Consider the following 14,772-nt stretch of genomic DNA (forward strand, 5'->3'; position numbering starts at 1 on the left):
GCAGATTGGAGTCTTTGCAGTGACAAACGCAGGACGATTCTTCCCACAAAAGGGGCCCAGAGGCAGAGCACCAGCCTGAGCTGTGCTGCAGGAGGGCCAGGAGGGATGACTGCCTGAAGCATAAAGATCTGGAGAGGAAGGTCTGCACACCTGGAGTTTTGCTGTCCTAACGCTTCTCAGCCGGGGCCCAGAACTGTGTGCAGAAGCGATGGTCTATGGACAATTCACCTGCCCCTCGGATAGCACCACCCACTTTGCATTCGGATGTTTGAACACAGCCTGTGTTTCCCACAGTGGTCAGGTGGAATCCTGGACTTTCAGGCCAGATGATTTGTACAACCTCCTCCTTCTACAAAAAGAGGATGATGGGGGCCAGGACATGAACTCCATGACACAGACAGCTATGGCCAGAGCAGGGAGAATTAAGGAGCAGGAGACGCCTTGGATAGGAAGGACTAAGTGTGCTGCTACCTGGAGAGAGGAGAGCTGTGCATTCAGGCCCAGCCTTGTCAGGGAAGCCTCAAGTCTCTGTTTATTAAGGCTGGAGGGAACCAGCCATCCTGGCTGCAGTGGTGGAGTGAAAGCAGCCGAGCCCTCTGCACTACTGAAAATTGACACAGGGTAGGGTCTCCCACACCCCTCCTCACAGGCACGGGGCTGCAGCCCAGCTGGTGGGGTCAAGAGAAGGGAGGAGAGAGGCCTCCGGATGGTGCAGATGAGCAGGGCGGGGCTGAAAACTGCATCCATTCATGCCGCTGACTCTAAGCAAGTAGTGACGTCCCCCGGGGGTTTTGGCAGCACCAAGGATCGTGCAGGGTGCTTCCACACTTGCTCCTCTCATAACCCTGGAGGGAGCATCCCACTTTCCAGGTGAGAAGCCCAGGGTTTATGGGTGGGCTTTCCCCAGTTGCACGGGAGGCCTTAAAACAGGTGAAGACCCTAAGGACCGACGGGGAGCCAGGCGGGGGACCAAGGCGAAGCAGGGTGAGGCAGAGGTGTTACAGCATCCATGGCAGGCCAGGGGCCAGGTTATGATCACACTGGAGAGACAGGTGGGAGTGACCCAGAAGTTGCTGGGGTCATTTCTCAAAGACCCCAGCCCACTCATCTCCACCAACCTGCAATTTCTCAGCTCCACACTGCAACCCAAAGAGTGGACAGACAAGGTTGCTGTGGAAAAAAGACTTACACACAGCAACATCAGGATGCCCCAGACAGGGTGCGTGGGAGTGTGAAGCTGTGCAGTTTAGGCAGGGGCATGGAGGGGATGCCGGGATGCACAAGGGACAGAATTGTGTGGGATCGTGTAGCCTTCATGGAGGAAGAGGACAAGCAGGGCCAGAAATGATGAGGACATTTCTGTCCTCATGTATCTGGGGAGAAGGAAGCATATTGTCTTTTTTTTTTTTCTTTTTTTGAGACAGAGTCTCACTCTGTCTCCCAGGCTGGAGTGCAGTGGTGCAATCACAGCTCTCTGCAGCCTCCAACTCTTGGTCTCAAGCGATCCAGCCTTCTGAGCAGCTGGGAATACAGGTGCATGCCACCACACACAGCTAATTTTTTATTTTTTGTTGTGATGGGGTCTCACTATGTTGCCCAGGCTGGTCTCAAGCTCCTGGGCTCAAGTGATCCTCCAGCCTCAGCCTCCCAAAGTGTTGGGATTACAGGCATAATCAACCACACCCAGCTCATATCATCTTTTTATTAAAATAAGGTAATGACTTGGACATTAGAGCTGTCACTCCCCACTTCAGGCCAGGCGCTTGTGTCTGATCTCACTAGGATCCTAAAGTGTATGGTCTGTAAATTACAAACTGCAGCAACAAAATGCTTAATCATTAAACCAAGGCAGCCACTATGCACCAGCCTCCAGCTGGGTGCTAAGCGTGAGTGGCCCCAGCCTGGGGAAGCCTCACTGTTCCTGGTCTGCTGTGAGCTCCTAGGTTCTTGAGACTCAGGTGTTAACCTTGCCTGTTTTCTCATCCCCTGCAGGCACCGGCCGTAGCTACACCACAGACCCACTCTTGTCCCTGCTCCTGTTAGCTCTGCATAAGTTCCTGCGCCTGCTCTTGGGACATTGACAGACAAGACCAACCCGAGCATCTCAGAGGCCGCACATGACCTGCCCGGGGCCCTCGGTGAGGACCATGTCGCTGGATGGACACAGAGAGACTGAGAGACGCATGAAAAAGTCCACATGGAAAATAAATAAATCATATTTTTGGGAAAGTTACACAAATGTAGAACACCTAAAATAATGCATCTAGTTTCCAAATAATTTGGAGTTTGGCCCATGCAGTCTGCATGGGAATCAATGATTTCTCTACTTCAATGTAGTTTTCTTTTCTACACTTTCCCTCCAAGTCTTCATTTTGCACGAACTGTTGAGCAGTTATCTTTAGGATAATATGTACAAATGTTGGGGTCAAAGCCTTTTGACAAAGCAAAATATTTTTAGTAGATTATTGTGTTTAGGATTTTTTTTTAATTTACTTTTTTTCTTTGGGGGCTTTTCTTTTTTATTAAATTATTTCTTTTGAGGCATTTTGATTAAAAAAGACACATCTTATCATAATTAAAATTCACTGTCAATAATATTTATTTTTAAATAAAGATTGGAAACAAGGTCAGACACTTGTTTATAAACTGTATTGTATATTGCTGAAGAACAGTTGAATAAAAAACAACTTTGAAATAACCTTTCTACAGCCATGGATGAATGTCAAGCGTTGGTGCCCACTGCAGCCTGGCTGCCTGCCGTTCCCTCCTGTGCTCTGACACCAGCTGCACTTTTGGCTGGGTGTCACCCGGCGTGGAGGACAGCCCAGGGCACCTGGCTAAGACCACGCTGAGCAGATGGGAGCACCTGACAAGCCTCCCCTAGGGACAGGGCACTTCATGGAGGCGGCAGTGAGACGATCCCCCAGCCTGGGTCCTGAAGGAAAGGAGATCGCTAGGAGGAGGTGTGAAATAAGTCAAGAACCACTCCTCCCCCACTTCGTTTCAATGAATCATGCAATTCATTCGCCCACTTGGAGATTGTAAGTCAAGGTGTATTTACTGTGGTTAGCTTTGCTGCTAGTTTGAAGGGGGAATTTGGAGAGAAAGTAGGGCTTGCCACACTCCTTCCCGTGCATCTGAAGATTGCTTTGAGCCTCTGAAACTCATAGATTTGGGGCAGGTTACACATGCCCTAAGGAAACGGGCATGCCCTGGGTGGGGGCTACTATTTATACTTCATTCTAAGACAGCATCTCATTAGATAGCTGGAGCCCATGGATTTGTTTAAAACCCAGCCAGATTTTAACACCTGCAGTTTCAATAAGTGTGGTTGTCATTGATGTTGTTCACCAAATACTTCCGTTCTCCGCTGGCCAGGCCCAGGGCAGGATAACGCTTCCTGGCCTCCTGTGGCGGGTGGGGCCACAGCTCTGGCGCATGAGCTGGGAATAGAAGGGATCCGCATTGCTTCTAGTCCAAGACACAGGATTGCTAGTGCGACGCCCTCCAAAGCACTTGTCCTCTAACGTGACGACTCGCAGCGTTCACATCAGCAAGTGTTCTTCCAGCCTAGGTCGCTGAGTGACTGCGATGAACACAGCCTTTCCTGTGGCCAGCGCTGGATCCTGCGGCCCCATGAGAAGTCTGCCATTGCCGCTTCACCCACTCATCTTCGGGCATTATCGCAGCATAAGCCAGCCTGTCCTGATTGGCTCAGTGTGTAGTTGATTGACTGTATTTAGCTCAGGGGAGGAGTAATTGTGCATTTGGACAGTCCCACGTGTACAGAGACCCCCAGGATGGAGCTGATGTCAGGGGAGGCCTGTGTGGAGAGAACGTCGGGACGGCTGTTTCTGATGGGTACATTAACTTGTTTCACATTTCCTTTATATTGATCAGCACCAATTGAGCTGTAAGTTTAATCACTCTGTCTGGTGGATAGTGATTCTGTCCAGAAGGATCATCTCTTTTTATAGTTAACTCAATACTGCAGCAGCTAATGTCATGTGAAATACTGGCCCAGTGTGCTGGAGAGCAAACCGTACTTCCCAGATACCAGTGGAACGGGGACAATGTGTCAGTAAGGGTGACGTTGTACCAGATCGTTCCAGGGGATGGAGGGCTGGGGAGTCATTCCCCATCACCAAAACCAGATGCCTCTGTACAAACACAGGTAGTCAGGTCCCAGCCTGGAAGCTCCCAACCTTTAGCGTGATATGCACAGGGGAGGGGCAAGTGTGATGGGCACAGTGGAGGGGGCAGGTGTGATGGGCACAGGGGAGGGGGCAGGTGTGATGGGCACAGGGGAGGGGCAGGTGTGATGGGTACAGGGGAGGGGCAGGTTTGATGGGCACAGGGGAGGGGGCAGGTGTGATGGGCACAGGGGAGGGGGCAGGTGTGATGGGCACAGGGGAGGGGGCAGGTGTGATGGGTACAGGGGAGGGGACAGGTGTGATGGGTACAGGGGAGGGGCAGGTTTGATAGGCACAGTGGAGGGGGCAAGTGTGATGGGCACAGGGGAGGGGGCAGGTGTGATGGGCACAGGGGAGGGGCTGATGTGATAGGCACAGTGGAGAAGCTGGTGTGATGGGCACGGGAGGGGCTGGTGTGATGGGCACAGGGGAGTGGGCAAGTGTGATGGGCACAGGGGAGGGGCTGGTGTGAGGAGCATAAAGGAGGGGCAGGTGTGATAGGCATAGGGGAGGGGCTGGTGTAATGGGCACAGGGGAGGAACTGCTGTGATAGGCACAGGGGAATGGGCAGGTGAGATAGGTAGAGGGGAGGGGCAGGTGTGATGCCTACAGCAGAGGGGACAGGTGTGATGGGCACTGAGGAGGGGCTGGTGTAATGGGCACAGGGAAGGGACTGCTATGATGGGCACAGGAGAGGGGCAGGTGTGATAGGCACGGGGAGGAGCCGGTGTGATGGGCACAGGGGAGGGAAGGGGCTGGTGTGATAGGCACAGGGGAGAAGCTGGTGTGATGGGCACAGGGGAGGGGCTGGTGTGATGAGCACAGAGGAGAAGTGGTGTGATGGGCACAAGGGAGGGGCTGGTGTGATGGGCACAGGGGAGGTGCTGGTGTGATGGACACAGAGAGGGGCTGGTGTGATGGGTACAGGGGAGGGGGCAGGTGTAATGGCTACAGGGGAAGGGCAGGTGTAATCGGCACAGAAGAGAAGCTGGTGTGATGGGCACAGAGGAGGGGCTGGTGTGATGGGCACAGGGGAGGGACTGCTGTGATGGGCACAGGGGAGGGTCAGGTGTGATGGGCATAGGGGAGGGGCTGGTGTGACAGGCACAGGGAAGGGGGTCATGTGTGATGGCATGGGGAAGGGGACAGGTGTGATAGGTACAGGGGAGGGGCTGGTGTAATGGGCACAGGGGAGGAACTGCTGTGATAGGCACAGGGGAGTGGGCAGGTGAGATGGGTACAGGGGAGGGGCAGGTGTGATGGCTACAGTGGAGGGGACAGGTGTGATGGGCACAGGGGAGGGGCTGGTGTGATGGACACAGGGTAGGGGCTGGTGTGATGGGTACAGGGGAGGGGGCAGGTGTAATGGCTACAGGGGAGGGGCAGGTGTAATGGGCACAGAGGAGAAGCTGGTGTGATGGGCACAGGGGAGGTGCTGGTGTGATGGGCACAGGGGAGGGGCAGATGTGATGGGCACAGGAGAGGGGCAGGTGTGATGGGCATAGGGGAAGGGCTGGTGTGATGGGCACAGGGGAGGGACTTCTGTGATAGGCACAGGGGAGAAGCTGGTGTGATGGGCACAGGGGAGGGGCTGGTGTGATGGGCACAGGGGAGGGGCTGATGTCATGGTCACAGAGGAAGGAGCAGTTGTGATGGGCACAGGGGCGTGGCCTTGTGTGATGGGCACAGGGGAGGGGCTGGTGTGATGGGCCCTGGTGAGAGGAACAGGTGTGCTTTGGAGAAACCAGCTTTTTCTGCACAAAGAGGATTCCCCTCAAACACAGAAAATTATTCCTAATATCTGCCTCCTGGGGACAGAGAACTTCCAGGTGGGAAGCCGAGCATGAGGCTAAGCATGTTCCCTGAAGGGGAGGCTGAACCCGGCCTCCAGCAGAAGTTAATGGAACTGAGACTGGGGCTGTCGTGGGGCTGGAAGCCAAGGCAAATCTCTGGACCCAGGCTTCCATGGAGTGGCTACCAGCATTCCCACTGGTCCAGGGCCCCGGACACAAAGAAAGGAGAAGTTAAGTGCACCCCTAAGTATCCGCAGTGCCGATCCATGGGGTCTGGGCTCCTGTTTTCTGGGGTCTCACGCACTCCGAGAATGAGGACAAAGAACACTTAGCCTGCACTGTGTTTTATGGAATGCATACAAACCAGAAGAGAGAAGCGCCCTCCAGAAACAAAAACCGTGGCGTGGTGCTCACTCCCAAAACTGCCTTTCCCTTTGGAGTTTGCTTTCAGCCTCGGCAGACATGGGCTGGGGTTGGAGAGCAAGACAATTTATTTCAGTTTGGGAAGAATGCACTGTGGGCGGCCTCGGGAGCTCGGGTGCAGGCTGACAGGACCCCCGCCTGCTTGAAGGGACTGTGGAGCTGTGGGTCTGTGTAGCAACTAAATCCAAAGTGAGGGACAGGAGTCCAGAGGGAGTGCAAACTCCACCCCAGCCCAGAGCTGAGTGACAGCAGGGAAGAGAAGGAGGGCAGCCAGGGTAGGGGCACGTGGAGACCGAGCCAAGCCCAGACCCCTGTGGAGGAGCCCTGCTCTGCCTGGTGATGAGGATTGTCCCTGATTCTAGCCCCTCATGTGGTGCTGACCCACCTGCGCCCTCCAGGCAGCGGCCAACATTTAGGGGCATAGCCTGGAAGGAAGGACAGGAATTCCCAGAATTTGACAGGAGGTGGTATGAGCAGAGCTGCAGCATTCTGAGTTTCAGTTCTGTTTCAACCCCACACTCCTGGTTACAGCTCTGGCTCAGAAAACAACAGCTCTGTCGGATCCAAGCCTGCCGTTGGTTGGAATACAGCAAACAGCCATTTGTGAGCTGCTGAGCTCCTGGCTAAAGGGACTTCTGCCCCTGCCAGCCAGGGGAACAGTTTTTTTGTTTTGTTTTTTTTTTTTTTTGAGATGGAGTCTCACTCTGTCGCCCAGGTTGGAGTACAGTGGCGTGATCTCGGCTCACTGCAACCTCTGCCTCTGGGTTCAAGCAATTCTCTTGCCTTGGCCTCCCAAATAACTGGGACTACAGGCACCCGCCAACACACCCGGCTAAATTTTTTTGTATTTTTAGTAGAGACAGTGTTTCACCATGTTGGCCAGGCTGGTCTCAAACTCCTGACCTCACGTAATCTACCCACCTCGGCCTCCCAGAGTTGGGATTACAGGTGTGAGGCACTGCACCCGGCGAGTTCTTGCCTATTTTTGCACTGCTTCTTCCAGTGGGCCCATCCCCACTTTGGGTGACACTGGGCATTCATTTTGCCTGCATTTCAGAGGATGCAACTCCTGCTTTTCCTGGGGGACAGGTGGCCAGAGGCTTTGATGCATTTGCCCCTATATGCATGCACACACCTGTATGTAGCAGCCTGCTGCTTTAGAACACCATTTCTTTCCTTCTCACTAAGGCTGCAGCAGCAGGAGTGGTGCAGCACTGGTGAAACCTCAGCCAACTGGGCGCCCGGTCTCCCCAGAATGGAGCTGCTGCCCCTCAGGGCTCCCTGCCTTCATCAGCCAAGAAGAGCCTGCACACCCTACCACAGCATAAATACACCTTTTACCTCATGCCAGGGGCCCTAGAAACACATGGAAAACCCACGACCTTTATGAGGGACCTGCCCCACTTTGTGGCTGCAGACACAACATGAGGTAGAGTCTGGAAACACCACCAGGGGTGACCCCTTTTAAATGACAAAGACCCAAGGAGCACCAAAAATATATTTCAAGTCACAGAAAACATGACTTCACACCAAGCCTAACTTGCCACCAACTAGCAAAGACCCAACAAAGATCACATGTGTTCCCTGTACCTGATTGTTTAAAAGGGAGAAATGGTAAGTGGACTCTTAGTAGAAAGCATATATGGTCTCGTTTAGATTTTGAAGTTAGAAAAGATTTTTTAAATGAGACTGAAAAAGCGGTAATTATAAAAGAAAATATGGACCGGGCATGGTGACTCATGCCTGTAATCCTAGCACTTTGGGAGGCCGAGGTGGGTGGATCATGAGGTCAGGAGTTCAAGACCAGCCTGGCCAACATGGTAAAATCCCATCTCTACTGAAAATACAAAAATTAGCCCAGTGTGGTGGTGCGCACCTGTAGTCCCAGCTACTCCAGAGGCTGAGGCAGGAGAATTGCTTGAACCTGGGAGCCAGAGGTTGCAGTGAGCTGATACTGTGCCACTGCACTCCAGCCTGGGTGACAGAGCAAGACTCTGTCTCAAAAAAAAAAAAGAAAGAAAGAAAGAAAGAAAATATAGACAATTTTGACTACATTATAACAAAGAGCACTCGTTTACCAAAAACCATCACAAAGAAAGTGAAAAGAGACTTACAAAATACACCCAAGAAAGGATTACTATCAAACATGTACAAAGAATTCCTAGAAATCAATAAGAAAAGCAAAAACAGGCTGGGCATGGTGGCTCACACAGGCGAGGCAGGTGGATCACCTGAGGTCAGGAGTTCGAGACCATCCTGGCAAAGATGGTGAAACCCCGTCTCTACTAAAAATACGAAAATTAGCCAGGTCTGGTGGCACATGCCTGTAATCCCAGCTACTCGGGAGGCGGAGGCAGGAGAATCGCTTGAACCCAGGAGACGGAGGTTGCAGTGAGCCGAGATCGAGCCACTGCACTCCAGCCTGGGCGACAGAGCAAGTTGACTCCATCTCAAAAAAAAAAAAAAAAAAAAAAAGAAATGCACAAAAAGTACAATGGGAAGATGGACCAAGGATGTGAACCACCATATCATGGGAGAGAAAATATGGCCAGAAAAAAATATAAAAGGTTTTCAGCCTCAATAGTTACAAGAGAAATGCAAATCAAGGCCACAGTGATTATGCCCACTTAATTATCAAAAATTTAAGTCTGACAAAGGCCGGGTGCCGTGGTTCATGCCTGTAATCTCAGCACTGTGGGAGACCAAGGCAGGAGGGTCACGTGAAGCCAGGAGTTCCAGACCCTGTATTAGCATGACAGCAAGACCTCATCTGTGTTAGTCCATTGTTACTGCATTGCTGTAAAGAAATACCTGAGTCTGGGTAAATTATAAAGCAAAGAGGTTTATTTGGCTCATGGTTCTGCAAGCTTTACAGGAAGCATGATTCTGGCATCTGCTTGGCTTCTGGTGAGGTCTCAGAAAGATTTCACTTGTGGTGGAAGGTGAAGTGAGAGCCAGGGAGGGGAGAGCCGTGAGGAGAGAGACGAGGAGGGGATGGGTGCCACACTCTTAAAACAACCAGATCTCAAGTGAACTAACTGAAGGAGAGCTCACTCAACACCAAAGGGATGGCATGAAATCATTCATGAGGGATCCGCCCCATGACCCAAACACCTCCCACCGGGCCCCAACTCCAACACTGGGGATCACATTTCAACATGAGATTTGGAGGGGACCAACATCCAAACCATATTACCGTCTTTGCAAAAAAAAATTAAAGATAGCCATGCATGATGGCAAGCCTGTAGTACCAGCTACTCAGGAAGGTGAGACAGGAGGATCGCTTGAGCCCAGGAGTTCAAGGTAGCAGTGAGCTGTAGTCACGCCACTGCACTCCAGCCTGAGTTACAGAGTTGGACCGTATCTCTAAAAAACTAAAAATAAATAAGATTCTGACATACCAAGTGTTAGAGAAGTTGTCCATCTCCAAGATCACCTAAGCATTGACTGTGGGTGACTGTGGGAGTGTAAATCGATACAACCTCACTGGAAAACACTTTGGCACTAACTGTTAAAAGTGAACATTCACATACTGCGACCCAGAGATTCCAATCCTTAGTAGCAAAATCTCTTTCTCTTGTGCTCTGGGGAACATTAAAAAAAAAAAAACCTTCAAGGCAGCCCCATTCAATACCCTGGAAACAGATGAGTTCCCATCTATAGGAGAGATGATGCAGATGCTGTAGACAGTTCTCACAATGATATGAACACGACACCAGCTACTCCATCAAGGGTCAACGTGAATGAACTGCAAGGAACATGCAACAAAACACTGAGTCTTAGCATCTATTAGTGGGGAAAACCCCCAAAAAGGGCAGAGTGCTCACGTCTGTAATCCCAGCAGTTTGGGAGGCTGAGGTAGGAGGATCGTTTGAGCCCAGGAGTTCAAGACCAGCCTGGGAAACATAGAGAGACTCTGTCTCTATTAAAAATTTTAAAAATGTAGCCAGGTGTGGTAGCATGTGGGAGGCTGACGTGGGAGGATTACTTAAGCCAGGGAAGTCAAGGCTGCCGTGAGCTTTGACTTGATAGCACCACTGCACTCCAGCCTGAGCAACCTAGTGAGACCATGTCTCAAAAAAAAAAAAAGAAAAGAAAAAAGAAAAAAGCCCTGAAGATGACATACAGTATAATACCTTTGTCATAAAGTTAAATCCAAACTAAAACCAACAGATAGAGGGAGGATGGATGGATGGATGGACAGATAGACTTCTTAAGAAAACACGTAGCTAAGATAAAACTGTCTTCAAAGGAAAGCAATGGAAAGGTGAAGATGGATACAGGATCGTGGTTACCTTGGTATGGGGAAGCAGAGGTATAAGGAGCCCACAAGTGGATGAAGGTCGTCATCAAACTCTTAGTTTTCAAACTGAGTGATGGGTTAGGGTACATCTCGTGTTATCAAAAATGAATGAATGGCCAGGTGCGGTGGCTCATTCCTGTAATCCCAGCACTTTGAGAGGCCAAGGTAGGTGGATTAGTTGAGGCCAGGAGTTCGAGACCAGCTTAGCCAATATGTTGAAACCCTATCTCTACTAAAAATACAAAAATTAGCTGGACGTGGTGGCGGGTGCCTGTAATCCCAGCTACTCGGAAGGCTGAGGCAGCAGAATCACTTGAACCCAGGAGGCGGAGGTTACAGTGAGCCAAGATCACATCATTGCACTCCAGCCAGGGGGCCAAGAGCGAAACTCTGTCTCAAAAAAAAAGGGGAGAGGGGAGAGGAAAAAATGATACAGTCCTATCCAGGACTTATATTAAAACAAAAACAAAGTACCAACTTTTCTTTTCCACAGTCCCCAAGACAAATTCACATCTAACTCCATCTCCCACCCAGAGGTTGCAAACTAGCACTTCTCAAGCTGCATCTGGCTGCAGACATGCTATGTTTGACGTTCACAGGGATGTTTCTTGTTATTTTACAATATCGGAAAGTCTCATGTAAACATCCAAATTTCTCCTGTCCTCTGCAGCAACATGGATGGAGCTAGGGACCATTATTCTAAGTGAACTAATTCAGAAACAGAAAATCAAATACCACATGTTCTCACTGATTAGAGAGCTAAACAGTGGGTACATACATAACGACATGATGAGAATGACAGACACTAGGGACTCCAAAAGCCAGGAGAATGGGAGGGAAGTGAGGGTTGAAAAATTACCTATCAGGTAGAGTGTTCACTGTTCGGGAGGTGGGTTTGCTAGAAGCTCAATCCCAACCATTACACTATATGCCTATGTAACAAACACACACATATACTTAAAATTTGTTTTAAAAACCCAAATTTCTGGCTTCTCCTGAAAAAAATATAATATGCAGCCACACGGGGCCCATATTCCTATGTGGTGACAACTGGTGGGTGCCAAGTAACAGCTGCCCCCATGATACTCCAGGAGGTCCTTCCCTGGCTCTACTCTGCCTTCACCCTCTGCAGCCTCGGCCAGCTGTGGTCACTGTACCGGCCTCACGGGGCCAGAAAACATTGCCGCCATTCAGAGTGTTTCTCAAAGAGAGCTGAAGCAAAAGAAGTTTTAGGGTTAACCAGAATCCCATTCCTGAAGCGGTAATTGATGTTTTCGAATAACATGTATCCAGTTTTTTATTTAAGAACACCACAAAGAAGTTAAATTAGATTGCAGATAACCTGCGCTTTCTTTTTCTGTGCAAGATTTTTCTGTGCTTTTTTATTTTGGTAAATTATAGTATACAAAATGTTCTGGTTTTGCTTTGAAAGAAGGTCTGCTGTGTGTCTAAAACACAATCTACTAACATACTCTTATCTGCATAACCGATTAACTCCCTGTTTGTGACCAGACATCTTTCTACTCCCTAAATACCAAAAGACGTGGCCATTATTGTTTAAGCCTCCTTCACGGACTCATTTCTAAGCCCTTTGATGGTAAAATTTTGCTCCCCGCCCCTGCACCTCCACCTGCCATGGTTTCTCCAAACTGTGCCCTAATGAATTGGTGCTTTTAACTAAGACAGACCACGGTCACTTTTCAAAACGTTAATTCCCATAAAATGGGATGTCAGTTTTACAAGGAAGGCTCTCCTTTATCAGCAAAAACTGATTCCATTTGACTGATTAATTGTCCTTAGAACTGTCAAAGGCTTCCAGACTAGGGAAGACGGCTTGGGAGGAGGCAGACATGCAGCCTTGCGATGTGGGGCACTCCTGGGCTGGGGAAAACAGGAGATTACAAATGCACAAATAATTAATTCAAATCAATACAGCGAGGGGTTCAGGCTGAGAGACATTCAATTAAGTTGCTCAAAGAGAAGATGCTGATCTTCAGCTAGTCCTCTCCATGCTGCAAATAATAGAGCATTTTTAATTTGTGCAGCAGGGATGTTAATCTTTTGCCATGTAATCCAGTCCTTGGGGAATGCCATAAATATGTGGCACTGCGCATGTGAGGCTCCCTGAGGAGGGCACTCAATCAACCCAGCCCTGGCTTTCCTGCCTGTCTGTATGTCAATCTCTCAACACTCAATTAGGAAATATATGATAGGCTAATAGAGGATGGATGGATGGATGGATGGATAGATGGACGGATGGATGGATAAATGGATATAGAGGCAGAGACAGACAAATGTTCAAAGATTATCAGACATCCCTTACCCGCCTCCCCCACCCATAAACACTTTATGACTTCTGGATTTTGCCTGAACCAACAGCACAAATAAATCCCAAGGAATTATTCACATTTCAAAAGGATTCACTTCAGAATGCCTTTAAATAGCAAGCTCCTATAGCATGTTTAAAATAGGATCTGAATCCCAATTTTATTATACAGAGAAAGAGAAGCACACACATACATATGAATAATGATTTAGAAGGTTAGACACCAAGGTGTTAAAAGTTTATGTTTCTATGTAAGTAGTATTGTAGATACTTTAATGTCTGACTGCGGTCTGGCTTCTCTGTGATTATTACTTCTGTAATAAGATAAAAGCAGTAAAGTATTTTTAATTTAACAAAAGACAATTCCACCCCCCAAAAAATGTAAGCTTCAATTTATAAAGATGTAACTCTCCACCTGTTTTCAGAAGAACATTTGCTGTGTAAAAAGAGGCTCTCCAGGAACATGCTATTTAGTCCTCATTCTTCGATAACTGAGCATGGGGGCTCTGAGTACATCACTTGGGTGGGGAGCTTGAGGCACCTCTGTGGTCCCCTACCACACCCACTACACCAAGAGATGGCCCACCAAGAGTTGTCCTGGTGGCAACCAGGACTCAGGGGAAGGAGAGGCTGGAAATGTGGGGTGCCTCTGGGACCATGGACCTCCAAAGCTCTGCAGCACCTGGACATTAACTACGTTTATTCATTCAGCAAACACACATTGATCACTACTCCATAAACAGCCCTGTATGGGAGAAACAGATAAAGTATGCAAGGATCACCCCCTAACCCCCGGTAAGGGAGCTGGTGGTCTGGTAAGAAGAATCAACACCTCCACAGCTAAGTGGAATACAAGCTGGACTGTGAGACCCACAGTAGGGATCTTAGCAAGGGACTCAGGAAGGGAAACAATTCATTGTAATGGGTGGGGGTGGGGGAGATAGCAGGGACTTATCAAATGTTTGTGGAAATGAGCTCAAGTAGCATTTGAGCTGGGTCTTAAGAGGCCTCCTCGTCTCTCCCTGATGCTCGGAGAGTCTTATTAGACACAGACAGCTGGATCTCCCCTACAACCAGAGCCACTGTCGTTTGGGCAAAAGTCAATCCTTCCTCGCCAGCGGCTGTCACCAGAAGTGGCAGCCTCATTGCATCTCATTCTGAGGCGTGAGAGCCTCAGAAACAAGAGCCAGTGAGTCTTGGGGTATCTGAGCCACAGGCAGCCCGTGTGGGAGTCTCGGAGCCCACTCAAGAGCGTGGATAAACCTCGGGACAGGATTGTGACAGGCAGCATATGCAGAAAGTTGAGTCAGCCCTGGAGAGTGGTGCATCCTGAGCAGCTCCAGCAGGCGGTGCCTGGGAGAGATGGGCTGCACCGCGTGAATCAGAGGGCACCTGTCATGATGGAGACAGATGTGTGGGGTAAGCCAGCCACACCACAAATCAAAAATAACAAGGAAAACTCTGGGCAAATGAAACTAGAGAAACGTCAGCTCTTAGCCTTGCCAAAGCCGGGCTGCTCTGTGCACAGAGACTCACCCGAGACAACAGAAACAGGGCTGGGTGGACGTTTTGCAAATGAATAGTCAGAGAGAGCCATGGGTTGCATTTGTTGACGGTGTCAGAAAACTAAAATCAGTCAAATAAATGAGAAATTTGCCATTTCCCCCCCAAATTTTATGAGGCGGGGACTAAGAAAATGATCCATCAAGCAGGAAATATTTTAGCTGTTGGTTT

The 14,772-nt window shown here is 49.6% G+C and overlaps 1 protein-coding gene across 8 annotated transcripts in view, besides 3 other annotated features; it reads left to right on the plus strand.

Moving 5' to 3' along the window:
* Positions 1-2,698, plus strand: part of VSTM2B (V-set and transmembrane domain containing 2B) — a 39,134-nt gene extending 36,436 nt beyond the window's left edge. For all 8 annotated transcript variants that reach the window (XM_011526902.3, XM_011526903.3, NM_001384641.1 and 5 more), the window contains one exon: positions 1,993-2,698. In XM_011526902.3, the coding sequence (XP_011525204.1) occupies positions 1,993-2,081 (89 nt within the window). In that variant the 3' untranslated portion in view covers positions 2,082-2,698. The remainder of the gene's footprint in view (positions 1-1,992) is intronic.
* Positions 787-1,287: an enhancer, noted in NCBI's record as "H3K4me1 hESC enhancer chr19:30053547-30054047 (GRCh37/hg19 assembly coordinates)". NCBI's record gives its function as "activates a minimal SCP1, AML or CMV promoter by ChIP-STARR-seq in naive H9 embryonic stem cells {active_cell/tissue: H9 hESC(naive)}" and the evidence as "EXISTENCE:reporter gene assay evidence [ECO:0000049][PMID:30033119]".
* Positions 3,192-4,040: an enhancer, noted in NCBI's record as "H3K4me1 hESC enhancer chr19:30055952-30056800 (GRCh37/hg19 assembly coordinates)". NCBI's record gives its function as "activates a minimal SCP1, AML or CMV promoter by ChIP-STARR-seq in naive H9 embryonic stem cells {active_cell/tissue: H9 hESC(naive)}" and the evidence as "EXISTENCE:reporter gene assay evidence [ECO:0000049][PMID:30033119]".
* Positions 6,653-7,153: an enhancer, noted in NCBI's record as "H3K4me1 hESC enhancer chr19:30059413-30059913 (GRCh37/hg19 assembly coordinates)". NCBI's record gives its function as "activates a minimal SCP1, AML or CMV promoter by ChIP-STARR-seq in naive H9 embryonic stem cells {active_cell/tissue: H9 hESC(naive)}" and the evidence as "EXISTENCE:reporter gene assay evidence [ECO:0000049][PMID:30033119]".

The sequence above is a fragment of the Homo sapiens genome, chromosome 19 (assembly GCF_000001405.40).
Source record: "Homo sapiens chromosome 19, GRCh38.p14 Primary Assembly".
Classification (NCBI taxonomy): domain Eukaryota; kingdom Metazoa; phylum Chordata; class Mammalia; order Primates; family Hominidae; genus Homo; species Homo sapiens.